The 27418-nt window shown below is 49.6% G+C and overlaps 1 protein-coding gene and 1 long non-coding RNA gene across 25 annotated transcripts in view, besides 8 other annotated features; one reads left to right on the top strand and one right to left on the bottom strand.

The window, feature by feature from the left end:
• The window catches only part of MBP (myelin basic protein), a 154876-nt gene extending 130393 nt beyond the window's left edge, over positions 1–24483 (top strand). For 8 of the 21 annotated variants that reach the window (XM_047437523.1, XM_047437521.1, XM_047437528.1 and 5 more), the window contains 3 exons: positions 13256–13360; positions 14404–14439; positions 14789–15613. In XM_047437523.1, coding sequence (XP_047293479.1) covers positions 13256–13360; positions 14404–14439; positions 14789–15226 — 579 coding nt within the window. In that variant the 3' untranslated portion in view covers positions 15227–15613. Of the gene's footprint in view, positions 1–13255; positions 13361–14403; positions 14440–14788; positions 15614–18105; positions 18113–18421; positions 18542–22844 lie in introns of those variants that run through there. The other 13 variants (XM_047437533.1, XM_047437532.1, XM_047437530.1 and 10 more) reach the window with 4 other exon arrangements.
• Positions 4507–5007: an enhancer, noted in NCBI's record as "H3K4me1 hESC enhancer chr18:74710265-74710765 (GRCh37/hg19 assembly coordinates)". NCBI's record gives its function as "activates a minimal SCP1, AML or CMV promoter by ChIP-STARR-seq in naive H9 embryonic stem cells {active_cell/tissue: H9 hESC(naive)}" and the evidence as "EXISTENCE:reporter gene assay evidence [ECO:0000049][PMID:30033119]".
• Positions 5008–5508: an enhancer, noted in NCBI's record as "H3K4me1 hESC enhancer chr18:74709764-74710264 (GRCh37/hg19 assembly coordinates)". NCBI's record gives its function as "activates a minimal SCP1, AML or CMV promoter by ChIP-STARR-seq in naive H9 embryonic stem cells {active_cell/tissue: H9 hESC(naive)}" and the evidence as "EXISTENCE:reporter gene assay evidence [ECO:0000049][PMID:30033119]".
• Positions 9959–10531: an enhancer, noted in NCBI's record as "H3K4me1 hESC enhancer chr18:74704741-74705313 (GRCh37/hg19 assembly coordinates)". NCBI's record gives its function as "activates a minimal SCP1, AML or CMV promoter by ChIP-STARR-seq in naive H9 embryonic stem cells {active_cell/tissue: H9 hESC(naive)}" and the evidence as "EXISTENCE:reporter gene assay evidence [ECO:0000049][PMID:30033119]".
• Positions 13855–15054: an enhancer, noted in NCBI's record as "CDK7 strongly-dependent group 2 enhancer chr18:74700218-74701417 (GRCh37/hg19 assembly coordinates)". NCBI's record gives its function as "activates an origin of replication core promoter dependent on BRD2, BRD4, P300/CBP, MED14 and CDK7 cofactors, with strong dependence on CDK7, by STARR-seq in HCT116 cells {active_cell/tissue: HCT116}" and the evidence as "EXISTENCE:reporter gene assay evidence [ECO:0000049][PMID:35650434]".
• Positions 14004–14053: an enhancer, noted in NCBI's record as "active region_13518". NCBI's record gives its function as "activates an Ori minimal core promoter by ATAC-STARR-seq in GM12878 lymphoblastoid cells {active_cell/tissue: GM12878}" and the evidence as "EXISTENCE:reporter gene assay evidence [ECO:0000049][PMID:35858748]".
• On the bottom strand, positions 19164–22887 carry MBP-AS1 (MBP antisense RNA 1). 4 transcript variants are annotated; one of them, XR_001753507.3, is made up of 3 exons: positions 21327–22887; positions 21002–21138; positions 19164–19589 (listed from the first exon to the last, which is right to left on the bottom strand). It is a non-coding gene; the product is annotated as an MBP antisense RNA 1 (long non-coding RNA). The 4 variants fall into 4 exon arrangements; XR_935667.3 differs by having other exon boundaries at positions 21340–22887; XR_935666.3 differs by having other exon boundaries at positions 21366–22887.
• Positions 19574–20423: an enhancer, noted in NCBI's record as "H3K4me1 hESC enhancer chr18:74694849-74695698 (GRCh37/hg19 assembly coordinates)". NCBI's record gives its function as "activates a minimal SCP1, AML or CMV promoter by ChIP-STARR-seq in naive H9 embryonic stem cells {active_cell/tissue: H9 hESC(naive)}" and the evidence as "EXISTENCE:reporter gene assay evidence [ECO:0000049][PMID:30033119]".
• Positions 19685–19774: an enhancer, noted in NCBI's record as "active region_13517". NCBI's record gives its function as "activates an Ori minimal core promoter by ATAC-STARR-seq in GM12878 lymphoblastoid cells {active_cell/tissue: GM12878}" and the evidence as "EXISTENCE:reporter gene assay evidence [ECO:0000049][PMID:35858748]".
• Positions 21949–22008: an enhancer, noted in NCBI's record as "active region_13516". NCBI's record gives its function as "activates an Ori minimal core promoter by ATAC-STARR-seq in GM12878 lymphoblastoid cells {active_cell/tissue: GM12878}" and the evidence as "EXISTENCE:reporter gene assay evidence [ECO:0000049][PMID:35858748]".
• Positions 24484–27418: the final 2935 nt, after the last annotated feature.

Raw genomic sequence — 27418 nt, 5'->3', positions numbered from 1 at the left:
CATGTGCAACCTGGAAATTAAAGGAATAAGGACCAGGAGATATGTTGGTTGGTTGGTTTTCAGTCACATAGACAAAATAGGACAGTCCAGACGATGCCATCTGTCAGTCCTGAGGCATCACTCTCCACTGAAAGGAGGAACTGATGGGCCCTTTGTTTTAATTACATAGAAATGCGTCTTTTAAAATGACAGAGAAAATTGAAAAATCTCATCTCATTAACTACACTGGCATTTATTGTATCCATCAGTGTTTACTAGAAAATTAGTTCCCAATTATTTTGGTAAACAGCAGCAATTGAAGCTTCCCTCATTCCCTAGACACTAACTGGCATATGTCATTGACTTTGTCTACAGATACTAGTTTATTTTTCTCGTCTGTGAGCACACTGTTAGTTCTAGCCAATAGCTTCATAACTTACTACAAGGTAAGTCTACAAATTCTTGTAATAAAATACAATTTAAAAATCCGTTCTTCTCCCTTCCCTTTTCCCTTTCTCCTATGACTAGCCAGTGAATTTCCCCATAGGCCGCTGACTTTCAGGTGGGTAACGTGAGCCTCTCATCCTACGTTCACTCCACAAGAGTCTCGCTTGGCATGCAGTCTAAAGTTCAAGCCCTAGACAGCTAGCAGCCTCTGCGAGCAGCTCCCTGAACCTCTGTGCATCTCAATATTCAAATCTGTAAAATGAGTGGTGACGTGGGAGCAGTGCTGAATGATATTTTTGGTTTACGATCACACCTCGTGTTTTAAAACCAAGACGCCTTGCTTTCTCTATTCTGGCTTTGCATTGAATCCTTTTGGGGACACAGGGAAAACATGTACATTCCTAGAACTTGGACCACTTACTTGATTAAGACAATGCCCATAAGGAAATCCCTACTGCATTTAGCCACTGGATGGTAGATGCTGCTCTCTGGGCATATTGAGATACATTAACAAAGAGACATTTTTCTAACGTGTCATTCTGCAATGACATCATGGACCACACGACAAAGGGAAGAACAGGTGCTTGCTAAGGCTCCACAGCCGAGTGCTGATGGGTGCATCTCTGTAGCAAAGGCCCTAATGGGAGGCCCAGGTGGAGAGAGCCAGGTGCATGGGACCCTGCCGTGGTTGCCTCCATGAGAACGCACCATTCCAGGTTTACGAGAGGCCAGAGGTCTCCAGGCGGCAACTCCACATGGAGCCAACTTCCTGTGCTCCATCCCATCAGGTGGGAAAATGGGGCAGATGTTATCAACACTCAGTTATTTGACCCACTTCCCCAAAACTGGCACATAATCAATACAAATGGGGAAACAAAATGTACTGTGTTAATATGTGTGATCTGAAAGGAGGCAGATCATCTCTAATGATAGTTAGAAGATGTTCCAACACGTGGCTGTGTCAGTAAGAACACTATCATGAGGGGAGGGTGTAGATGAGCAGGAACTTTCTTACAGGCTTTTTTTCTTTTCTTTTTTTTGAGATGAAGTCTCACTTTGTCACCCAGGCTGGAGTGCAGTGGCTTGATCTCGGCTCACTGCAACCTCCGCCTCCCAGGTTCAGGTGATTCTCCTGCCTCAGCCTCCCAAGTAGCTGGGATTACAGGTGTCCGCCACCACGCCCAGCTAATTCTCGTATTTTAGTAGAGAGGGGGTTTTGCCACGTTGGCCAGGGAGGTCTCAAACTCCTGATCTCAGGTGATCCACCCGCCTTGGCCTCCCAAAGTTCTGGGATTACAGGTGTGAGCCACCGTGCCTGGCCTCTTACGGGCATTTTCTTAAGTAAGTCATCCAAGTTCTAGGAATGCACACTTCTCCTTGTGTCTCCAAAAGGATTCCATGTGAAATAGGAGTAGAGACCTCCAATACCTCGCCCATCTGTTAAAACTGCAGCGTGGGTACCCTGGCAGGCTCATTAGCTGCCGTGGACTGCTGCGGAGTGGCTGGAGACTGTCAGGCTACGCTGGGCCGATCTTCTGGGTAGGTGTATCTACACCCGTGTATCTAGTGATTTACTCTCCTCTGGAAGAGAAACGCGGGCACACCCCAGCCTGGGATGGCAGGCGAGGAACCCCCAAGCCCCAGCCCTGCATGGTCCCACCTGGAGGCTGAGATGAGCTTCAGGGTCCGGGACAGTGAGCGGGGACCCTATGAGTGGGAACCGGGTGGGCGGGGACCCGGTGGGCGGGGACCAGGTGAGTGGGGACCGGGTGGGCAGGGACCCGGACAGGCTCAGAACCATAAACTCACTAGGTCTTCACGTATTGACCTTATGATCGTTGATTCAGGGAAGCAATTAAATTCCTCTCTCAGACAAAGAACTAAGAGCTTGAACTCTTTTTTTACCAACTCCAGGCACCCGTGAATATTAATCTTTTTTCAAATTAATTGTAAACATTTCTTCTGAGAGGGAGTGACTCCATCAACGTATCTCCTTTAATAAAATCCGAGTGGAAATGATGCTGCCAAGAAATGCCTTGGCCCTGCAGCCGCTGATCTTCAGATGCATCGGGCGGCAACTCATCTGTTACTGCTTCCCAGTTTCAGAACGCCCAGCTCCCCAGGCCTTAAAACAAATTGGAAAGCAGGGGAATAAAAAAACAAAAACAAAAACAAAAAAAACAACAACAACCCTCTTCCTGATTTCTGGAGAGAAACAGGCGGCGGGCAGCAGCCTGGGTGCTGTGCGCAGGAGCTCCGCCTGCTGGTGATGGGTATCATCGCAGGTTGAGGAAAATAATTCTTCAAAAATCATGCAATCAAACAGCCTAATGGAAAAAGGAATTTCTTTTACAAATAAATGGCCACCCGTGGTCTTCCTCCCGTGATTTTAAAAACTTTTCAGCAAGTTATTTTTATTTACCAAGCAAACGTTTGTCATTTTGTTGTTGTTGTTGCTCTATGCATCGTGATGAAAAGCTCTACTGATAGGAAGAGGCCCCAACACTGTTGAGTAAAACAAGAAAACTCAGATGAAGAAAACAGTGTGTCTAGTATGATCACTTTTAACGGCATTTGCATATTTTGTCTGTGTTTTTGCACAAAGCCAGATCTAACAATGTGCTCATCAAAGTGTAAACCAGGGTCATCCTTCGGTGGTAGAATTTTTCCACAAACTTTCTTATTTCATGGGATATCTTCATATGAGCATGTATTATTTTTCTAAACAATAGAAAATATTAGTTTTTAAAAATCAGGTCTTTTTTTAATTCTTCAGCTGTCCCAGGTATTCAGCTCCAAATTAGCCAAAAATTTTGCAGAAATGTCCTGGCCTCATCTCTAGCTGGCAAAACACAGGTTGCAGGATGCCCCCCAGCATCTGAGTCTACATCACAAGGTGCGGCCCTGTGTCCATTTCTTCTTTTATAGTGCAACTGACATCCTAGCTCTTCCTCGCTTTTAATCACCCACAAAGAAAGTGCAGTACTTGAAACAGGTTGGGGATGGCCCAGAAGACACAAATCTCAATGAATAACCAAAAATGTTCACAGTTTTGGCTTTTTTTAAACCTTAGTGAGTACAACTAAAAGTATATCAGGGAATTACTAAATGTGTGTCCTAAAAAGTAAGCAGGCCATGTGTGGTGGCTCACGGTGGCTCACACCTGTAATCCCAGCACTTTGGGAGGCCAAGGTGGGTGGATTGCTTGAGGCCAGGAGTTCAAGACCAGCCTGGGCAACATGGTGAAACTCGTCTCCACTGAACAAAAATTAGCCAGGTATGGTGGTGCATGCCTGTAATCCCAGCTACTTGGGAGGCTGAGGTATGAGAATCGCTTGAACCCAGGAGCGAGGTTGCAGTGAGCCAAGATCACGCTACTGCATTTCAGCCTGGACAACAGAGTGAGACTGTCTCAAAAAAAAAAAAAATACCTAAACTAAACAGCAGGAACCCTTTCTGTCCTAGAGAGCTGAAGTTCAGCTCTCAGTTCACTTTCAGGATGACCTTATACGTCACAAGCGTTCCTGGGGCCGCAGCTCAGAGCTTCTGATGGGGTTGACGGGGGAAGCGGAGGTTGCGAGGCTGGCCCAGGCCCTCAGCGGTCTCCTCCGGGAAGGCTTGAGGGTGCGCCACCCGCTTCAGCGTCCCCCATGGCTGGTCTGTGAAGTGACTTGAGTTCACCTTCACCCCCTAAGTGCCCCACCCAGCTTGCGTCCTCCCCTCACCTCCTCCCGTTGTTTCTTTAAGGCCTAGCATCTTCTCCCAGCTCCTCCCACCTAGGAACAGGTAACCTGTTTATCATAAGGTGTGACAGAATGATAAGTGCCCACTCCCCATAAATTGAAAAACCCCCCAAAACACTGCTCTTAAACCCCCAAAACACTGCTCTTAAACCCCCAAAACACTGCTCTTAAACCCCCCAAAACACTGCTCTTAAAATCCGCTGACACCTTGCATCTATCACATTTCCTGCACCACTGGAAGCCGTGGAGTAGGTGGTGCGTTTCTACAATTGAGCTGAGCCGGGTTTGTGGTGAGCAAGGGGCTGTGGGGTCAACGAGGAAGGAGCCAAGGGGCTGCATGAAAGGACTGCAGACCCAGATCATGGCCCTGCAACCAGCCACCCACAGGAGAGCGGGGCAGACACAGGGCTGTACTTCTCAGCCAAGCCACCCTAACACTGTGTGTACGTCTCATCTCATAAATGTAAATGCACGTCGACCTTCAAAAGAGCAGCAATGTCCCGATGCCGCGTGCTGCTATTCCTTCAAAGAATAAGGGAACCTCGGCAGCTTCACTTCAGGCTGTTGGGGAAAGGAGGGTGGGGCGTTCGGGCATCTCTTCTGCGAGTCACCCGAGGGCATGGGAATGTCATGGCCAAATCAGATCAGCGTGGCTCCGGGGAGCCTGGGTCACTTCAAAGGTGACTGAGAACTAGAGCCAGAAGGTGGAAACAACCCAGAAGTCCCCGGAAGGGTGAATGGATGAGCAGAAAGCAATCCGCGCATACGGTGCCGTGGATGTCGTTCAGCCTAACGGTGGAAGGTGGAAGGGGATTCTGACGGGGGCCGCAGCACGGGGCGCCTGGAGGGCACTGCGGTAAGTGCACCAAGCCGTCCGCAGAGAACAGACGCTGCAGGCTCCATGCACAGGAGGCCCCTCGGGTGGCCCGTTCATAGAGAAGAAGTGACTTGAACGCTGGGGCCAGGGATGGAGAGTGAGTGTTTCATGGGGGCCAGGTTTCAGTTCGGGAAGCTGGAGAGGGTGTGGAGATGGATGGCGGTGATGCTGGTACAACAGTGCGAATGTGATGTGTGCCACTGAATTGCACACTTAAAAATTGTTAGAATGGTAAGTTTTATGTGTGTTTCACCACAATAAAAAAATTACTTTTTAAAAAGTGGCTCAGGCCGGGCGTGGTGGCTCACGCCTGTAATCCCAGCACTTTGGGAGGCCGAGGCGGGCGGATCACGAGGTCAGGAGATCGAGACCATCCTGGCTAACACAGTGAAACCCCGTCTCTACTAAAAATACAAAAAAATCAGCCGGGCGTGGTGGCGGAGCCTCTAGTCCCAGCTACTCGGGAGGTTGAGGCAGGAGAGTGGCGTGAACCCGGGAGGCGGAGCTTGCAGTGAGCCGAGGTCGCGCCACTGCACTCCAGCCTGGGGGACAAAGTGAGACTCCGTCTCAAAAAAAAAAAAAGTGGCTCAGATGCAGCATCCGTCCACGCGGGCCACGCAGTCCCCTGCCCGAGGTCGTCACCAGCCTGACACCGAGGCGTGCTCCTGGGCTTTTCTTCCCGTGCTCAGCACAAAAGCTCTTTAGGAACATAAACCAAAACCCAGGTCTGGAGTCTCCGGAAACAACCAATATAAAAGCTCACCAGAGGCTGATCTCACACGCTTTGCCGCTTTTCCAAGGTGGCTTCTCAGTAAAATTCTAGAACCGAAGACTTGGAGACTCTCTGTTTCAGTCCCATCATTTCACCCGCGAGGAACCAGAAGCCCCAGGGCCCCAGGGGACTCGCTGAAGGCCACACAGGTGGCGTCAGGCCCGGGCTGGAGCTTCCCAGCTCCCTGCAGCAAGCTCTTTTCACAAGGCTGCCATGGAAGGCTTTTGTTCCTCTGGTCACTTTCTATTTGCTGAGCTCCACCTTGTGAGTCAAATGCCGGGAGCTTTGGGGATCCCACAGAAGTTTTTCTTTTTTCCTCTGAAAGATTAAAATCTAGCTGGAGAGGGAAGATGCTTGCAGAAAGCTAAAAAGGACAATCCAATGCCAGATGAGGGTTGCAGCCAAAAGAGGCTATATTTTCCCAAAACAGAGACATTTGGAGGGGGAGGACGCTCTAGGCAAAGGTCGGGGAGGCAGTAGGAGCCCCGAGGCGGAAGGAGAGGCCAACACTTTCAGGGGAGACCTGAGACTGCCAATCAGAAAATTTGCACAGTGATACGATGCACCCATGAATTCCATCTCTGGCTGTACAATGACAGCTCATGTTAAATGGCCTTATTCTATATTCTATTTCACAAAATAATGAACAAAATGGGCTTGCTTTGGGGGTACACTTCTATGAGTTGTGATGCACGTATGGATTTGTGTAGCTAGCGCCATAATAAGGACACAACCCCAAATCCTCCCACGTCCCCCTCCCTCGTGGTCCACACTGCACCCTCCCTCCACTCCCTGCCCCCCAGCTCTGACCTCCCCCAATATAGGTCAGCCTTTTCCGGCATGTCATATAAATAAGACCACACAGTATGAAACCTTTTAGAATGGCGGCTTTTACTCAGCAAGATTCCTTGGAGAGGCCTCTAAGCTGTTGCCTGTAACAAGAGTTTGTATTTTTATTGCCGAACAGTATTTCATGCCTGGATACAGCACAGTGTGTTTATCCCTTCAGCCCCTCAAGAGCATTCAGGTTGTTTGAAGGTTTTAGTGAAATCTAGTGGGTTTAGCTGCTATGAACATTCATGTACTGGTTATTGTATAAACATAAGTTTTTATTAAAATTTAAATTACTTTTCCCTCAAAAGATTGGTGGCCAATATATTCATTATAGAAGCCATTTCCAAAAGCATGTAATTTATCCTTTAGTATTTAAAGCAGGAAATGGAATTACAGGGTCATATGGTAAGTATAGGGTTAACTTTCTAAGAAACTACCAAATTGTTTCAAGGAGTGACAGTTTGCGTTCCCAGCACTTGGGAATGTTGGCATTTTTTATTTCAGCCATTCTAACGGTGCGGTATCCCCTCGCGGTTTTGATTTGTGTTTTCCTGATGCTAATGATGATGCTGAACATCTTTTCATCTGCTTATTCACCCTCCCTACGTCCTCTTTGCTGAAGTGTTTATTCAAGGGTTTAGTCCATTTTTAAACCAAATTGTTTGTTTTCTTCTGGTTGAGTCTTGAGAGCCCTTTACAGATTCTGCTTTCAAGTCCTTTGTCAGATACGTAATTTGCAAATATTTTCTCCCTGTCTGTAGCTTGTCTTTTTCTTCTCTTGATGGTGTCTTTTGTAAAACAAAAGTTTTGAAACTTTGATGAGGTCCAATTTATCCATTTTTTCCTTTTATAGATGATGTTTTGGTGTCAGGTCTAAGAACTTGTCTACTCACAGGTCATGAAGGTTTTTCTCCTATGGCTGCTTCTAAAATTTTATAGTTTTACATCATAGATAACGATCTATGATCTATTTTGAGTTAAATCTTGTGTAAGGTGTGGATTGGGTTAAAGTGGTTTTTCGTGGTCGTTGTTTTTTTTAACATATGGATGTTCAATTGCTTCAATGCTGTTTGTTGAGAAGACAGTGTTTTCCATTGAATGATCTTTGCCAGGAATCGGCTGGTCAGATTTGGGTGAGTCTATCTCTGGACTCCATTCTGTCCATTAATCTAGGTGCCTGTCCTTCCTCTAGCACCACAGGTCTTCAGTTACCATGGCTGCATAGTCAATCTTAGAACCAGGTAATGTGTTTTTCTCACTTTATGTGTCCTTTTCACAATTGTTTGGCTATTTTTGCTCCCTCGGATTTCCATACAGTTTTAGAATCCACCTGTCTCTAGCTAAACAAAACTTTGCTGGAATTTGATTTGGAATTTCATTAAACCTGTAGATCGATTTGGGGAAAGAATCAACAGTTTTACTATGTTGAGTCTTCTAATTCATGAACATAGTATGTCTCTCTATAAGTTCACTTTGATTTCTTCCACCAGCATTTTCTAGTGTTAGCTTTAAAGTTCTGTACATTTTTGCTAAATGTATACCTAATATTTTGTTTCCTTGATGCTATTATATGTAATAATTTTTAATGTTTTTTAATTGTTCATTACTTGGATGTAGATATATAATTGACTAAATGTCCTTTTAGTGATAGGTCATTACAACTATGGTATAACAATACAGATATAAGACTGCCTCAAATTATCTAGGCAACTGATGATTTATGGCTAAAAGCCCAAGTCAAAGCCCTAGTTCAGTCACTCTTCAATGCATCTATAACCAAAAAATGTGTATGATCCTATGAAAATTATTCCATTCACTGAAGACCAGTGTCAGTTCTGTATTAAAAGTGAACTAAACAGCCTACATGTTAATTCAACAAACAGTTGCTGCTCACTGCATTCTTTGTTCTGTATGAGGACCACCAATAAACCAACTGCCTTTTTCATAGACATTTCTGACCCCCGATAATAGCTCCAAGAGCTCAAATAAAACCTACCAACATCATGTGTACCTTAAAAGATTTAAACTACCTTTTCCTCACCAGTGTAGTGATCAATATATTCATTATAACAGTCACCTTCAAAAATATATCATTTTTCTTTTATCATTCAAAGCAAGTATTCATAATTCACATGTGAAGCATTATCTATGTAATGCTCCGTTGAATCTCTGACAGCATGGTAAGTTGTAAAATCCTCTGAGATCTGCATAGCGTGACTGAGCATTCATTTCTTTAGAAACCTAACCTAACCCTAAGTTTTTTCTTTAGAAACTTAAAAAGTTTAAGTCATTTTTCTAGTTTAATCACAGGATGAGTGATTTAAAGGCCAGAAATGTTTATGTGACTCAAAAACCAAAGTTCAGCATGTAGAGAAATGGAGAAATGCTATCCAAACACCGAGGCGGTGTGGCTTGCCCTGGACTGTGAGCTGTTTCAGTGATTTCAGGCCACTGGAGTAGGAGCTAATAAGTAACTTCGTCTGGTAGACACAGCACTTAAAGATGTACGTCTTACAGTTTAAAGAGTTTCCCGTCTCTTCCATTTTGTTTTTTGATTCACGATTTCACACCCCCTCTCATGGAGGAGAAGAACGTACAAGGCTGGTTAGTGGTGACTAAATACAACTGGTCACTGAACGCAGAGAAGCATTCGATAAAATATTACATGACACAAGGAGAATCAGAGAATTACTTGAGTTCTTGCAGCATTCATAGACAGAATGAGTTGGAATATGAAGAATCAGGGATTTCTACTAGGACTCCGATGTTCCTGGCCCTTCTGACATCCTCACGTTCAAAGGCCCACGGCACCTGCCTGGGAGGAAACTGAGCGTGCAAACTCCACTCCTCTGTGTGTGAGAAGGTGGAGGTGTCAGTAAACAGAGGGGTACCCGCCATGAAGCGCCGGCCACAGGCAGAGCGCCAGTGGCCTTCTGTGAAGAGTATGGGAGCTGCGCTCTGTGCCTGAGGGAGGTTGACAGTCTCATCAGGAATGAGAATCGTTAACCAACGAGGGCACAAAATAGGAAAAACAACTAGGAAAATATGGAGTTGCTGATTACTAAGAAATCCAAGGGATAAAATGGGATCTTTTGTTTTTTTTTTTTTTTTTTGGAGACAAAGTCTCGCTCTGTCGCCCAGGCTGAAGTGCAGTGGTGCAATCTCAGCTCACTGCAACCTCCGCCTCAGAGGTTCAAGCAATTCTCCTGCCTCAGCCCCCTGAAGCTGGGACTATAGGCACACGACGCCAAGCCTGGCTAATTTTTTGTATTTTAGTAGAGAGGGGTTTCACCATATTGCCCAGGGTGGTCTCGAACTCCTGACCTCAGGCAATCTGCCCGCCTCGGCCTCCCAAAGTGCTAGGATTACAGGCACGAGCCACCACACCCAGCCAAAATGGGATCCCTCTTTCATTCCTCATGCATTCAAAACCTCTCAGGCAGGAATTTTGTCTGCTTCACTTTTGTGGTATTTTCAGAACGTGGACCATGCCTGGCCCCTGGCATTTAGTTGGGAAGTAATGAGGCCCAGTGCAGAGAAGGACAAGCAGCTCATGGTTACGCCCTGCTGTGCCTGCAACTCTGTCACAGGGGAGGCCACGAGCAAGGGGTGCAGAAAACAGAGCTCGCAGTGCTGAGTAGGCCCTATGCATGGGAGATGCCTTTGCCCTGGGCCCTGCGGAGGTTTCAGACAGATGGGAGAAGGAAGGGCCTTGTGGACAGAAAGGACCCTGCACAAGGCCCAGGGCAGAGGATGCACAGCCCATCCACATGGAAGATGGTCGGGGCCAGGGCATAGGGGCACAGCCCAGGGCAGGGGATGGATGCTCAGCAGCCAGGGCAAGTGGGAGGAGAGCTGGGGCTGGGGCTCTGGCTCCTGGCAGGGCTGCAGCCAGAGGGAAGGGCCCTCAGAAGCACCCAGAATAACAGGGCTCCTGCTGCAGGCAAGGGCGGCCACAGGACACTGGAAGGAGAGGGACATCCATGTTGCTTCTGTTTCCCGAAGCTTGCTCTGCTCTGGGTGCTGAATGCTGGGAAGGTGGACAGGAAGCCTCACCACGTTAGGGCCCAGGGGACAAAGAGCTTTGGCTTCACCCTGAAGGGTGGGCAGGGCAGGGAGCCTCACAGGCAGCAGGGGAGCTGTTAGTAGTCTGGGGGTGAGGGCAAGAAACGTTTAAAGAAGGGGTCCCCAGCCCCCAGGCCCTGGACCGGTACCGCTCTGTGGCCTGTTAGAAACCGAGGTGCACAGCAGGAGGTGAGCAGCGGGCGAGTGAGATTATCTCCTGAGCTCTGCCTCCTGTCAGGCCAGCGGCACCAGATTCCTATAGGAGAGCAAACCCTACTGGGAATGGCATGTTCGAGGGATCGAGGTTGTGCACTCCTTATGGGAATCTAATGCCTGATGATCTGAGGTGGAACAGTTTCATCCCAAAAACGTTCCCCTACCCACCCCCATCCATGGAAAAACTGTCTTCCACAAAACCCATCCCTGGTGCCAAAAAGGTTGGGAACCGCTGCTTTGAAGAGGATCGAGTAGGGAAGGAGGGCAGAGGAAAGAGTCCAGTGCCAGCAAAACTTCAGACCTGATGTGTGCCGTGTGGAGACCCCCGTCTGGGCTCAGACACAGAGGTGAACAATGTCGGTGCTGGGCGAAACGCAGCACACTCTGCAAACATTGTCCTTTGTGGCTGCAGCATGCAGTTGTCACCCACTGAATTCCACCATTCCGTGCACTACCATAAATCCCAGAAAAGCGCACTTTTCAGGGCGAGTTAGGCCTTTGGTGGCAAAACTGTCTTCTGAACAACAAGGGGTCCTCCCAATCAATGTGCATAGAGCTGACAGACTGGAGGGAAATACTTCAATTGACTTCCGTGCATTTAACTGATTTGCTTCCGCTGCGTTCTGTGTCGACGGGGCGCAGCCAGCATGCCTGGGGCCAGAGCTCCTCTGACCTCCAGAAATTCATTCCTGCCTGAGGTGTGGGCTCTTTACATGCAGGCTATTTCTGAACAAGTAGCATCTGGGAGCAGCAGTGAGAAAGCGAGGGGAAAACTGACAAAATCAATCTCGCAAGCTCCCCCGAGTCCCTTTCCTTTGCTTTTCTGAGAACTCACAATCAGCCCTCTTGCCTGGTGCGCATTCACCGCTGTTGGGCCTTTGCAGTTGAGCTGAGAGCCGAGCAGACAATGCATGAAGTCTGCAAAAGCCGCAGCATCCCCTGCGTCGCCTATGTCCCCTGTGTCACCTGCCCCCATGTCCCCTGTGTTCCCCTGCCCCCGGGCGCTCATGGCTTTTCCCTTCCCTCCACTGTGAGCTAACCTCTCGCAGTGCTTACCACTCTGTATCTTCTGTGCGATCTCTAGTGACCTGGAGTGTTCTGGTTCTGTTGATTACCAGCTGGCCCTGGGCACTCATGCCCAGCCATTCTTCCCTCTCCGCTTCCTCTTACTCGAGATGTGGAAGTGATATTCCCAAATCAGCCCGGTGTCAGTGTGGCGTGAGACACTTACTTTGAGAAGCAGAGACCAGCTCATGTTATGCAGCCGCGTCAAAGCCCATGAGCTGCCTGCCTCATGCTGTTGTGTGTTTTTCTGTGTGTATTTCCCGAGCATTTTCCTGTATTCAGCCCAGAAGCCTGGGGATAAGTAATATTTTTCTCTCAGTGCTTTGCCCAACCTGACCCTATCTCAGATGGAATCCCCCTTGAATTACCGTCACTTCCCCTCTATTTGCTTGTTCACCTTCAGGAGAGCCGCACACTGAGTCGGTGATAGAAATCTCTCCCCAGCAAGTCGCACACCCAAACCCGCTGCTGCCAGCCCGTAGCTGCCCCAGGTGTGTCTGGTGGCTCATCTGTGGCTTCCTAGTAGAAGCCCTTAAAAAATCCAGATCACTAGTTGTACACCTGTCAACCTACCATCCTACACGCACACACAAACAAGCACACACACACCCTAATTTGCATAGACAAAGTTTAAAAGGTGACAAAGACACTCTCCTTGACTGAACTTTAGACAGGCTCTTCTAAGCCCTCTTTTCAACTAAGCCTCCTCCATGGGCCTTGTCCTCAAGCCTGCCTAGTCCAGTTTTACCAAGAATCCTGCTAAGCTAGTTTAGACAGGATCTTCCCAATCTTGATATATGATCACCCTCCAAATCTGATCAAATCCCTCATCCCTCACCATCCCCTGAGTGATATAGGATCATCTTGGCCTGCCTTCTGCAAGAATCATATTAGGCCAGTTTAGCAAGAATCCTCCCTACCCTTTATGTCTCTTCTTAGTAATTTTCCACCCACCGAGCAATGCACACCATCCCACCTTCCTACCCCTCTAACTCTTCACCTCCCAACCCCATCCTCACCTGCTGCTTTGCTACAAATCTCCACTTGTTCTTACTGTTCGTGGAGTTGAAGCCCATCTCTCTCCCCATTGTGATAGTCTAGATACCATCTATCACAATAGTCCTTAATAAAGTATTCCTGACTGTTAAAAAAAAAAAAAATCCAGATTACAAAGGAGGAGAGATCCAGCTTCCCTGAGGAGGACAAGCCGCAGGGACTGTGGACTTGTCCTGAGGTCACCGCGCCTCTGTGTTTCAGGACTCACACCACCCGGCAAGAACTGCTCACTACGGCTCCCTGCCCCAGAAGTCACACGGCCGGACCCAAGATGAAAACCCCGTAGTCCACTTCTTCAAGAACATTGTAAGTGACGATCGATGGGAAGAGGTAGCAACTGTGAGGGGGAGGAGGGGTGCTGGCCACTGCTGTCATCCACACAGGACGTTCGTACGCTCGGGGGTGGCACCGGGGTCATCATCAGGGTGAGGCCGGCCGGGGAACTCCCCCCTCGCACCTGATCGCGAGTTCCAGGCAAGCGCTTCCCGACTGTATCTGCCACGGATTGCACCGTGCGCTCCGTGCGTTCTCCAGAGAGCTCACTTCTCTTGAGATTAGGCTCCCATGTAACGCTTAGCCTAAAAACACAGGCTTTGCAACCTATGGAGAGTGCTTGCCATGGGCTGGGAGCGGAGGGGGCAGCAGAGAGAGCACAGGGCATTTTTAGGGCATTTTTCGGGCAGCGAAACCGCTCTGTCGAGGCTGCCATGGTGACTGAAGACCACGCACTTGTCCAAACCCACAGCGTGCACAGCACCGAGAGAGCCCTAAGGCAGTGTTGCTAATAAGGGAAACTGTTCGGGGTATGTGGAAACTAATTTCTGCACAGTTTTTCTGTAAACCGAAAAGTGCCATGCAAAACGAAGACGATTAAAAACAAGAACAAAACCACAGGCTTCTAATTCCAAGATCTCAGTGCAGCAGACATTTTATGCTCGTATTCGATAAGTGCACTTAGGAGCTGCAGACCTGGGGACATCCCCTTGGAAGCTCTGAATGTCAGAGGGCCCGCTACTCCTAGCCCCGGAAAGGGCTCACGGTGAAGCAAAGTCCGCCGCCTCCCTCAGTGTCCCAAGATGGGCCCATTCCCCAGCTACGGAGCCTCTGGGAGGTGTTTTCCATCCTCTGAAACACTTCCTGAGTGCTCTGGGAGATCTGCATCATCTAGAATATTTTCAATCTCAGGTCTATACTTCTTCACCAACTAGGACAGAAGTGGGGAGGCTGGGCACCCGGGTGCTTCTGGCAGCTGATGGATGCTAGCCACCCTCAGCAGGCAGGAGCCCGTTAGGAAATGGACGGCGGCACAGGGCTCCCAGTGCAGCCCACGGTTCTCTGTGTCTTTCCAGGTGACGCCTCGCACACCACCCCCGTCGCAGGGAAAGGTAAGACCTTGGAATGTTTTGATTGATCATCACTTTTCTGATAGACCTTCTCTAAAATCCCATAATGTACCAAAGAGAGAGTTAGGCTCCGAGCTACCAGAATCCATCCCAAAACGTGTTGCCAGGCAGCTCCCAAGTAGAACAGGTCGGCAGATCCATGCACCCCTCCTGTCCCTCCCGCACCTGCACAGCCGCTGTGGCCCTGAGCCTGCGGCCCCCCTCGGAGCTCCGGGTGGAACCTGTTTTTACCACCTCAGCTCCACTGTGCTTTGACTGTGTTTCCTGTTGATTGAAAGGACTTTCCCTTCACTGACCACCATGTCATTATTTCTCTGTCTTCCTCATGCAGGGGAGAGGACTGTCCCTGAGCAGATTTAGCTGGGTAGGTGACGAACGCACTTCCATCGGCTTCCTCTTCCGTCCCAGTCCTCACAGCCCCGCAACTTTTGTGTTCTGCTCTGTTTCGGTTGCTTCCTGGCCTCCTTTTCTCTCCTCTCGAGACCTCTCTGCCCACAGCTGGGATCGGGCCGCCTTGTCTTCCACTGGGGAAATGAAACGTGGTCTTCCCTTCCGGAAGGTCTGGTCTCTTGCTTCTGTGCCGGGGACCCAGCCCTGCAAGGCCAGATCCTCTTCTCCCAGAGGGTTCCCAGGCGACGTGACTGGTCTCCCTCCCAGGGAGGGAGCAACACCACGTCCGAGAAAATGTTTAACTTCCTCCAACACAACCAGTGCGAGAAGCCCCAGGAACCCGCATGTGGAAGTGGGACTGGCTGGCCCGTCTCAGTGACCCCAGATGCTGACACTGGGAAAATGATTCTGCTGATGAACAGAAAAAGAGGCTAAATAGAGTTGCTCGATTTATAATAACCTCATTAATCCAAAGATTTTTGTTTTGTATGTGTTTAAATAATAATTAAAACATAGATATCAAGCCATCCAGAAAATCTTCCTTAGGAATTTTAGGCTGGTTAATACTGAAAGCAAACTTTCAAGGAAGGTTTAAAATGGCCAATTTGAACTTTCTAGTGAAAAAATTTGGTGTCTGAGCCAAATTAAAATGCCAATCATTATATTCTAACCAAACTTACAGACTTTAGTTACTAGCAAATACCAGATATGATTCTTACTGTATAAAAGTTATAATTTTAGAATAAAATGGAGGAATAACCACCAACGTATTGTAGATAGGTTGTGTCTGTCTCCGAAACTGCAATGCTCTCATACGCTAGAACAGAGCCTACCTACACTTTCTGCTCAATTAATAAGCATCATATAAATGAATGAATACATTTTAAAAGAAAAACAACAAGGAGAAAGAACAGGAAGAAAGAACAGGGAAAGAAAACAGAAGGTGGGGAAGAGGAAGGAAGAGAGGGAGGAAGGGGCAGGGTACTTGAGAGACCATGAGGATCCCAGATCAGTCCCACACATGATTACACTGAATTATGAACTAAGATATTTACCGAAACGTTTTCCATTAATGCATATTTGACTTGCTTTTTCTGACCTAATGAATTTGCAAAACGATGACAATCATGTAGCAAATGTACATGGACTAGTACTCACAATTAATTTTTTATTTTCTATGCCAGCAGGAGACAAAGATGATAGAAGAATGAAATTCATTTTTGACCCAGAAATCTTATTTTAGCTACTGCTTTATCTGCTCTTAATTTTCTAGGAGTGGACTTTGGGGCCGTCGTGCCGGATCCTCCCTGAATGTGGAGCGATGGGGGGTTGCACACAGGCCGTTCTGCCCCAGCAGCTAACAAGAAAGACCCTTGCATTCCTCCCTGCATCTCTCCCTTTTGGGTCCTACTAATGTCTGTTGAATTTCTCTTTTTTCCAAAGCAAAATCCTTCTCTGCATTTTGTCTGCTTGTCTGTTTCCCAGAGCCGCAGGACTCTCTCCTTGTCTGGAGTTCCAGAGAGCCCCCACTTTCTCTTTCTAAGCTGTGTTGTGTGTTTCCTGGTACATTCTAGGTTCCCCAAAGATAAACATGACTAAGGATTGGAAAGGAGGAAAGGCCGCGCAGATTGTTAATCTGAAAGTCAATCCCCGGATTTAGCTCTCAAAAATGCTTTATTTTTGGAGAAAAGCAATAGAGTAAGACAGAAGGACTTAACGCTTGCAGGGAAGTGGCTTTCTGCCATGTAGAGCCAGGCTGGCAACCTGCCCTCTGCCATCAGGGAGTGAGCATGAACCTGGAAACCTCTAGGACGCAAGAGCGAGGCTGGCTGTCCCCTCGTGTGCAGTGCTTAGACCTTCTTGCCACACATCCCGTCCCTCACCTCACTGGATAGCCCCCGAATCAACTGTTCACACGAAAGCAGCTGCCTGGTTCTGAGTGGCCATGCTCACTCCCAAGCACAGGCTGAATGAAAAGAAAACTGTGCAAGTAGCTTGTATGGTGGGAAGCCCCCAGCAGAGGCTGAGGGTGCAGCCAGGTGCTCTGGAAGCCTTGAGGCCTCTGGTGTCATCTTCCTCACCTCTAAATAAGAGATGGGCTAGGTTGGTCAAGGTCCTCCCTGTCCTAAAACACTTTAATGAAATGGAAGAAAGGCTGCAGGCTGATAGAGGAGGGACAGTCTGGTTTGGTTCCCTCAAGTCTTCAGGAGAGGGCTCAAGGACAGTCTCCCATTTCTTGTTGGCAAAATGTAAAGTGCAGTCTGGACCCTGTCCATTGAGTAGAGACTCAGGAGGCCAACCAAGATCCCTGAAAAGCTAACAGCGTGGTCAGCCTTCCCACAGACAGTGCACCCACCGTGGGAGGACACTTCGCCCCCCATTGTTAACGTCCACCGCGCCCAGACTCCCACAGCGAGCTCCTTCCCTTCCTCCCCATGTTTGCAGTGGAGTTCCCACTCGAGAAGACAGCACAGTAGCAAGTAGAGGCTGGTCCTGGGACACTCGCACCCATGTGTGTCAGGAAGCCCCTGCGGTCACACGGCCCATGAGGAAGCCAGAGGGGCTGCTGGGGCTGATGAGGCCAGGGCAGGGCGGCCTGCTCTTCCATAAATGACAGCTGGCACCAAAGCCCAGAGCTGGCAGCCTCCACCTGAGGAGTGGCATCTCCATGAACGGCTTGTGTTCTCGCACAGCCCCATTGCGTAGATGAGGAAACTGAAGCTCAGAGAGGTTCCTGCCCTTGCCCAAGGCCACACAGCCGGATGAGCTAGAAAGGTGCTAGGGGACTGGGAGGTGGGGGAGCTGAGACGCTGTCCCGCTGCTGCCAGGATGCGGCCGCCCCCCGTGCCAGCCAGGCCTGCCTCCTCCCTCTGTCCGGCTCAGCAGCCCCGGCCTCCTGTTGCTCCCAGTCCGAGCTATGGCCAAGGGAGACTGATTCCTGCTCACCCTGGGAGAGAGCTCAGGATTTTGTCTCAAAACCTTATAAAAGATACGAGGCTCGACATTTTACTAAGGCCGAGGACTCTTGATCTCCCAGACAGATCCTAGAACCACAGGGCACATGTGACCAGAATCCAATCTGTGCAAATCAATCAGCAAAAGGAGCCCCCAGCAAAGGCGCAGGCCGGGGCCTCCGGGGACCGGCACCTACACAGCGCACAGCCCCCCAGGGTCCGAGTCCTCCAAACCCGTGTAGGCAGGAGCCTCCTTACCTTGATTTGCTTGATGTTTGCTAATCTTCTCTTGAACACCCCACAGCGTGAAGGTAAGCAACTGTTCCCTAAACGACTTAGATCCTTAAAATATGTGTGGTTGGGCCGCATATCTCATGAGAGAGCCTCCGCCCAAACCAGAGCCCTCCTCTCTCTGCGGCCAACACCCTGGTAGACCTGGGGGAGCAGCCTCTCCCGCCCCCACCCCCTCAGCGTGGTGCTGGCCCGTGGCTCCTGAACCACTCACCAGTCCAGTCCGGGGCCTGGGCCCTTCCCCGGGGCCCTGGTGGCAGCTCCCAGTGGCTCAAGCAGCGTGCCCAGCACCGCGGGTGGAGGTTGAGCTCCGTGGTCTTCTCTTGCAGGGGGCCGAAGGCCAGAGACCAGGATTTGGCTACGGAGGCAGAGCGTCCGACTATAAATCGGCTCACAAGGGATTCAAGGGAGTCGATGCCCAGGGCACGCTTTCCAAAATTTTTAAGCTGGTAAGGTACCCTCTGCTCAGCTCCACTGAGCGGGGACTAAGGGCTCCCAGAATCCCCAACTAAGCTGAGTACAAGGGTGGCTGCCGCCTCTGGCTCAGCCGCACTGTACCCTGGACGTGCTCTGTCCCAGCAGGCGTGCAGGGGCTCAGGTGGCATTGCCCACCCGCATTTACGCGTGGATTTCCTCCGAGATGCATGTGAAGCCGGAGGTGCTTGAGGAAGGGCTGCGCCTGGGCTGGTTCAGGGGCCCTGGAGCAGGCGACTGACCTTGACTCTGGGGCAGGGCCCAGCTGGAGTCCAACTTGCTCATGCCCAGGGGTTGGGGCCCTCAGGGAGCTAAAGCAGGAGTCAAGCAGACGTGGGTGTCGGGGGGAGATCCCTGGAGCCACGGGAGGGAATGCCCAGGAGACCTCCAGGGAGTGGGGAGTGTCCCGTCGGCTCATGAGGACCTGGAACCAGACCCAGGACGAATGCCAGGCCCGCTGTTTATAAGCTCTGTCTCTGAGACTTGGTTTTCTCATCTGTAAAATGGAGGTAACCCGCCCACTCAGCTCACAAAATCGCTGTGAAAGTAAAAGGTAGTGACAAACACAAAACGCGGCTGGCAGGTGCGCGGCTCGGATTCCTTAGATAAGCAGTCACCTTTATTATTGTTAAACGTCACCCAGAAAACCCTTAACTCTTAGACAGCGGCTCTCATTAAGCAAAAGGGGAGGCACATGAAGCTCCAGGCAGGGCCGGGAGGGAACCGTGAAGCCAAAGGCTCTGGGAGCCCCCAGGCACCTGCGTTTGCATTTTCATCCTGGAGGAGACCAGGCTTCTGGGGCTGCTCCCCGGGGTGCAGAGAGGAGGGGTCTTTCTTGGTGTGTAACATACTCATTGATTCAGTCACCTGACCTTTGACTCCATGTATTTTGTTGAGTCTGGATGTGTGGTGTGCTCTGCCCAGCAGCGGGGATCCACATGAGCACAGACATGGTCCCCCCGCGTCCTTGGTGAGTGCAGAACCTCTGCCGTGAGCCTCGATTCTGGGAGGTTCTGGGAGGTTCTGTGGACAACAGGCAATTCAGGGCACAGCCCCTGCTCTTAAGGATAGCCGGTCTTAGGAGAAGCTTTTAATATGTGAAGTGAGCAGGGAGTAACTGAGCTGCTAAGTAAGCAGCTTTATGTCAGATGAAGTGGTAGGCAGGATCCACTCCTCAACGTAAATTCTGAGTTAAGAAAAAAATTCTCCAAATATTCAAGTCTCAGGGCCATCATGCTGTACATTGCCGCAGTTCTGGGATGTGGCCACAAGAGGGCGGAGATGAGGCTCCCCGGGGAGCAGTGTCTGAACCCAGCACTGCAGTCAGGACGGCCCCGCCCCACCTGGCCAGCACGTCACCTGCCTCTGAATCGCCTGGGATGCACGCCCAGACCCCTATCTGCGCTCCGCCACAGCCTCACTGAGTCAGAATGTCCAAGGGCGAACTAGGTGTTGCTAGTTGTGATGATTTTGCAGACACCGTGCTCACCTGGGAAACACGGATTCATCCCATCTGGAAAACTAATTACTCCACTACCAGCTTAAGGACTGTTAGACACACCGGGAGAGCTGAGTGCTGGCTCAGAGTTGATGGGAGGGCCCAGATGAGTGAGGGGCCCCATTTAGCAAATATTGTCCTTGCAATATATGCAAGGCTTACAACCAGTCACTCAAAGATGCTTGCAAGGCCAGAGCTTACCAAGACCACCCTGAGGAACAGAAAGCTGCATTTAGATCTGCACATTTACTGTGTGCAAATATAACCAGTGTACTATACACATGTGTTTCCTGAAATAAGTTCAGTATTTTCCCTGAACTTTTTTGTAAGAAGCTTTTAAAAATTATTTAATTTCTGTAGAGTTCAAGGGAAGCTTCTATGTATCAAAGCAAATTTCAAATCATATGGTTGTAATTAAATTTTACTGCATAAAAAGTTCATAACTGGCCTACTATGGCCATATGGCTGAATTAGTTGACTTGGAGCACTTCCAATAGATTAATAAATCAGCTCCCCCAGAAATGAGGGGGTCTAGAGGCAGGCAGATGGAGAGGACAGGGACTTCATAGCATTTAACATCATTTTACCATCTTTCCTTCCTGTTCTTTTTGGTGCTGTTGGAAATCAGTAGTGAGAGGAAAACACTCAAATCTGGAAGTCTAGCGCTGTCGGTAGGAACTGGGTAGAAAAAACTATGCATGTCCCCCCATCACTCGGAAACTACATCAGAACATCATAGGAGCATCCTGTTTCCATGTGCATTAGTTTCCACGAACATACATGTGAATGTTTTCCCACCTGTAGTGTTGCTGTGGAGTTGTGAGATGTCAAAGTGGAGGCAAGAGTATCTGCCTTTTGCAGTAGGCTCTGTTCTTTTCCTGTCCTGAGAGAGGAGGTCAGTCTAACCCTCACCTTGTGAGTTCAGCCTTATACTGACCTGAGCCCAGGGTGGATCAGATGCTGAGATCATGTGACTCCAAGTTGCAAGACACGTAATAGAGAGAAGCGTGACTGTTGCATCCATGCAGGCTCTAATCCTGGCTCCTTCGGGCTGGCTGAGCTTTGGCTCCTGAGCTATAAAGAGAGGATGATAGGAACACCTACTCCAGGAGGTGCTGTGAGCACAAAAGAGAAAACGGGGAAAAACGGGTTTCCTGCATGGTCAGTGCTCAACAAATTGTAGTTTCAATGATAAAAAGTAAAACCAATACACCCACCATTTTCAATGTCAAAAGGGGGCATCAAGAAAGTTAAGATTGTACCTCGGTAGGTTACCTTGCCAGAGGCTGCAGGGAACTTACTCCATTTCAGCACAGAAGCACTTTGTTTCATAGGACAGTGGTTCTACCACTTTCCAGGAAGTCCAAAGGCTGATCTCTTGGAAATGCAGCAAAAGGTGAGGTGAGTGCCAACTTCTGGGCTACTCCAGAGGGCAGCTCCAATGCCAGAGATGTTCAAGTTAAGCCAGGATCAAACAGGAAAAACCCACGCTCCCGAGGGAGAGGCTGGCCCTCGAGGGGCAGGGCCCTGCACCTGTCAGTCCCCAGGCCGGCAGGAGGCCTCCACGGTATGTGAGAAAGCTGCCTGTCTTGGGAGGGAAATCTCACTAGATGGTTCCTGAAGCGGCTTCGCAGGCTAGCATTTCATAAACGTTTTCACTTGTGAAAACAAAAATCCCTTGAGTGAGTTGTGTAAGCACAACATAGAGGCTTGTTTATAATGCTACGTATGTACTTGGAAAACCCCCCAAGAAGTCAGAACTGTCACCTTGGTCTGTTAGCTGCGTTACTTGGAAGGATTCTTGGCGTCTGCGCTCTGGTTATTTGTGTTACTGGGCAGTGTGGAAGACGTAGAATTAGATGAGGACAGTGTTGGTTCGTTGCTGATCGGCCACGGTAAAGAGCATATTTCTTTTCTATCTTGCTTTCTGGGGGCTCTTCGCCAAAATTGATCATTTCATAAAAGAGGGGAAACCCAAGGAGAGAGACTAAACTTTGAATAAAAATTTGAATGCAAAAAAAGTGCAGTTCTGCTTCGTCGATCTAAGTGACATTCTGAGTGACCAACGCATTCCTCTTTCTAGAGGGATGGCCACGCCTGGCTACCTCCACACCGTGGGCCACAGCACACCTGTGCACCATCTCAATTAGCTGCCAACTCTCTTTTAAACATCGAAATTATTTGTCCCCCAAACGTGTAAATGCATGGTTTTAAGACCCCTTCAAGTCAAAGTTTGCAGACAAAGCTCTCTGTGCATTTGATTTGTCTGGTGTGGCAGATGAGATGGCACATAGGAGGGACGTCCCCAGGGATGGACACGTGGCTTTGCTCTTTGCTGGCGCGTGTAGCAAGGGGTGTGCTAGGGTCCCGCCGAAAAAGAAGTTGCTCCTGTTGTCGCTGGCAGTTCCCCTCGGCTGCCCTGGCACCTCTAGCTGACGAGAAAAAGTGCTCATTCAAAGCAAAGCAATGGAGCGGCTGCACTTTCACCCACAGAAGTGCAGCGTTGTTTTGCAGAGCAGTGGTTATGCCAGGCACCACTCCCTGGGGCCTGGGAATCCGATTCCAGTTCTCTCTCACAGAACTGGAAATTCAATTAGCATTTGCTGAGGGAGGTCGGGAGAAATGGAATGAAAAGACCAGCTCTCCGGGGTGCCATTTCTATTAGCAGATGAGAGAGACACCCAATGGCTCAGCATCCACCCGGGACCACAGAAGAGGGGATGCTGGTGTGGGAGGACCCTGCGGCACTCTCGTCCTAACTCCTCTCTCTTCCTTTTCAGGGAGGAAGAGATAGTCGCTCTGGATCACCCATGGCTAGACGCTGAAAACCCACCTGGTTCCGGAATCCTGTCCTCAGCTTCTTAATATAACTGCCTTAAAACTTTAATCCCACTTGCCCCTGTTACCTAATTAGAGCAGATGACCCCTCCCCTAATGCCTGCGGAGTTGTGCACGTAGTAGGGTCAGGCCACGGCAGCCTACCGGCAATTTCCGGCCAACAGTTAAATGAGAACATGAAAACAGAAAACGGTTAAAACTGTCCCTTTCTGTGTGAAGATCACGTTCCTTCCCCCGCAATGTGCCCCCAGACGCACGTGGGTCTTCAGGGGGCCAGGTGCACAGACGTCCCTCCACGTTCACCCCTCCACCCTTGGACTTTCTTTTCGCCGTGGCTGCGGCACCCTTGCGCTTTTGCTGGTCACTGCCATGGAGGCACACAGCTGCAGAGACAGAGAGGACGTGGGCGGCAGAGAGGACTGTTGACATCCAAGCTTCCTTTGTTTTTTTTTCCTGTCCTTCTCTCACCTCCTAAAGTAGACTTCATTTTTCCTAACAGGATTAGACAGTCAAGGAGTGGCTTACTACATGTGGGAGCTTTTGGTATGTGACATGCGGGCTGGGCAGCTGTTAGAGTCCAACGTGGGGCAGCACAGAGAGGGGGCCACCTCCCCAGGCCGTGGCTGCCCACACACCCCAATTAGCTGAATTCGCGTGTGGCAGAGGGAGGAAAAGGAGGCAAACGTGGGCTGGGCAATGGCCTCACATAGGAAACAGGGTCTTCCTGGAGATTTGGTGATGGAGATGTCAAGCAGGTGGCCTCTGGACGTCACCGTTGCCCTGCATGGTGGCCCCAGAGCAGCCTCTATGAACAACCTCGTTTCCAAACCACAGCCCACAGCCGGAGAGTCCAGGAAGACTTGCGCACTCAGAGCAGAAGGGTAGGAGTCCTCTAGACAGCCTCGCAGCCGCGCCAGTCGCCCATAGACACTGGCTGTGACCGGGCGTGCTGGCAGCGGCAGTGCACAGTGGCCAGCACTAACCCTCCCTGAGAAGATAACCGGCTCATTCACTTCCTCCCAGAAGACGCGTGGTAGCGAGTAGGCACAGGCGTGCACCTGCTCCCGAATTACTCACCGAGACACACGGGCTGAGCAGACGGCCCCGTGGATGGAGACAAAGAGCTCTTCTGACCATATCCTTCTTAACACCCGCTGGCATCTCCTTTCGCGCCTCCCTCCCTAACCTACTGACCCACCTTTTGATTTTAGCGCACCTGTGATTGATAGGCCTTCCAAAGAGTCCCACGCTGGCATCACCCTCCCCGAGGACGGAGATGAGGAGTAGTCAGCGTGATGCCAAAACGCGTCTTCTTAATCCAATTCTAATTCTGAATGTTTCGTGTGGGCTTAATACCATGTCTATTAATATATAGCCTCGATGATGAGAGAGTTACAAAGAACAAAACTCCAGACACAAACCTCCAAATTTTTCAGCAGAAGCACTCTGCGTCGCTGAGCTGAGGTCGGCTCTGCGATCCATACGTGGCCGCACCCACACAGCACGTGCTGTGACGATGGCTGAACGGAAAGTGTACACTGTTCCTGAATATTGAAATAAAACAATAAACTTTTAATGGTATTTGCATGGGTGTCTTCTTTTGTGTTCCGGGCTGTAGCACACAGGCCCACATCAAGCGAGAGCCAGGTGTGCAGAGCAAATGTGACTCGGTGCCTCTGGGTCTCCAGGCAGGGCTGCCTGGCGGTGCCTGTTGGAGGGGGCATCCTCATCAGAGGGTCGATGGCTACTGAAGAAAGTGGAACAGAGGTAGTTGTTAGGGCACTGATTCTCTCACCAGGAAAAAAATATTTAGTGTCTCTGAAGACAAGCTTCCAAGTCTGTCTGTGTTCTGCTGTGTGGCTAGTGTACACACCCTGCAGATGTGAACCCAGGAGTCTTGGACGTGTTCCCCTTGCCACCTTTTTCTCTGAAAGCATGAAAGAGCGTGAAGCAATGTTTTACTTATAGTTACCTTTGGTTACAAGAATTTTTCTTCAAAAAGATAGACGAAAGTCTCTTTTGTTTTTTCTTTTTCTTTTGAGACAGGATCTTACTTTGCCACCCAGGTTGGAGTGCAGTGCTGCAATCTTGGCTCACTGCAGCCTTAACCTCCCAGGCTCAAGCTATCCTCCTGCCAAAGCCTTCCACATAGCTGGGACTACAGGTACACGCCACCACACCCAGCTAAAATTTTTGTATTTTTTGTAGAGACGGGATCTCGCCATGTTGCCCAGGCTGGTCCCATCCTGACCTCAAGCAGATCTGCCCACCTCAGCCTCCCAACGTGCTAGGATTACAGGCGTGAGCCACCGCACCCAGCCTTTGTTTTGCTTTTAATGGAATCACCAGTTCCCCTCCGTGTCTCAGCAGCAGCTGTGAGAAATGCTTTGCATCTGTGACCTTTATGAAGGGGAACTTCCATGCTGAATGAGGGTAGGATTACATGCTCCTGTTTCCCGGGGGTCAGAGAGCCTCAGACTCCAGCATGATAAGCAGGGTGAGAAGCTTGAGAATATGATTGCATTCATTGCAATAGCAGGAAAAACTGCCGAGGCTGGAGGCATGGCCACCTGAGCTCGCCTGGCAGGCGTGGCAGACAGAAAGCCCACGTTCACTGGCTACACTTCTCTGCCCAGACCCCTTCCAACTGAGGAATTTGGAAAATCATGCAAAGATAATTACATTTTAAAAATTGTATTCTTTTCATTGGCAAGTCTAAATGTAACATATGTGGAAAATGCATTAAAAGGCAAACCAAGGGTACATCATAAGCTAGCATTCACCATGACAGTACAATACTTGGGTGAGTATTTTAAAATAAAACACAGCAAGATAGGAACTGAGCCAGGGAGCTTGTGTGCTCACTGAACGCTTGCCTGAAGAGGCCCGCCTACTTTCTCCTGAAGGTGACTGGAAATTAACTTACCAGGCTGAGAGCCAAGAGGAGGGGCTGCTGGAGCCCCAGCCTCATGGACGCAGATGCCCTTCCCCACCACCCGCGCAGCCTGTCAGGACCTTCCCCATGGCCTGCGCAGGCTGTCAGGACCACAGTCAGTAGAGGCTAGAGGGGCCGTGAGGGTCTGTGGAACTGAACATAGAAAGCCGTAGTGATCACGCTTCCAACTGCCAGCCACACCCTGCCATTCAGAGCTGGCCTGCCCGTCTGTAGGGGCAGGGAACGCGTATGAAATTGATAGGGCAGCCTCTGAGCTTGGTGCGTGAAGTACCTGGCACGGAGGAAATGAAATCTCTGCAGAGGGCTGATGATGAGCAGCCAGTCAAGAAGTGAGCAGAGCAGGTGCTGGTTTAGCTCAGGAGATGCCGTGATGAATGACTCTGCCTGGGCCATGAACTATAAATTGAAATTGGGATTATGTGAGAAGAAAGAACCAGGGACTGAGGGAGAAACTGCAAAACAGTGAGTGAAAAGTTCTCTCATAGCAATTTTTACAGAAGACAGCGAAGCCATCAGTTAATTTTGGGTGTTTGTTTGTTAGTCTGCTTAGGAAGCCATAAGAGAATACTACAAACTGGGTGGCTTAACCAACAGACAGTTATTTTCTCAGTTCTAGAGGCTGCAAGTCCAAGATGAAGGTGTCGGTTTCTGGTGCGGCCTCTCCTTCGCTTGCAGACGGCCGCCTTCTTGATGCATCCTCACACGGCAGAGAGAAGGACCTCGGGTGTCTCTTTCTCATCTAAGGACCCCAGTCTTACTGGATAAGAGCCCTGGCCTTACGACCTCATTGAACCTGAATTCCCTCCTTAAAGCCCCTATCTCCAACCTGAATTCCCTCCCTAAAGCCCCTACCTATCTATCTCATCTCCAAACACAATGGCATTGGGAGTGAGAGCTTCAAAACACACATTGTGGGAGGACACAGTTCCATCCATAACAGAAATATATTTTCCCTCATGCAACAACAAATATTTTCTAAGCCACCATTTGGCAAGATGTTATAATTAAATCCAAGACTCTGCAGTACTCTTGCCTCTTTGCCAAAAAAACATAATATGAAGTGAAGCACGCTGGCATATTTCTCTATTGTGATTCCTCTATTGTAAATAGTAAATAGTCACTGAAATCCTAAACGATAGGATATGAAGGCAAGGTTGACCCAACAGCACAGGCAAGGCTGTGTGGCTTGTTAACCACCACAGCTCACTCCAGCACAAGATGCCGGAGCAACTTCGTGTGACCGCACCTGCGTAGAAGGAAAATGAGTGGTCTGGTTTTTCAGAAACAGCCTGATTGCAACCGGCACTCATCCACCTTCTAGGCACCTCCAACCTCGTCTCAGTGATGCAGGCCAGGGCTCCTCCTTCTACAGCCCCTCACCTCGACTTCCCACCACCGGGAAATGGCTTGTTTATCCAGCTCCAGAATCTTACAAGTTCCTGGAGCTCACTAACAGGTCAAGACTCGAGGGCATCCATAAAACAGTGACTCCTTCCACTACCGCCAGCACCAGCCAGGGCCCCTCCACCTCTCAGCTAAGTTCCCGCTTCTGATTTAAAG

Source organism: Homo sapiens, chromosome 18 (assembly GCF_000001405.40).
Source record: "Homo sapiens chromosome 18, GRCh38.p14 Primary Assembly".
NCBI lineage: Eukaryota > Metazoa > Chordata > Mammalia > Primates > Hominidae > Homo > Homo sapiens.
This window is presented reverse-complemented; position numbering and strand designations above follow the sequence as displayed.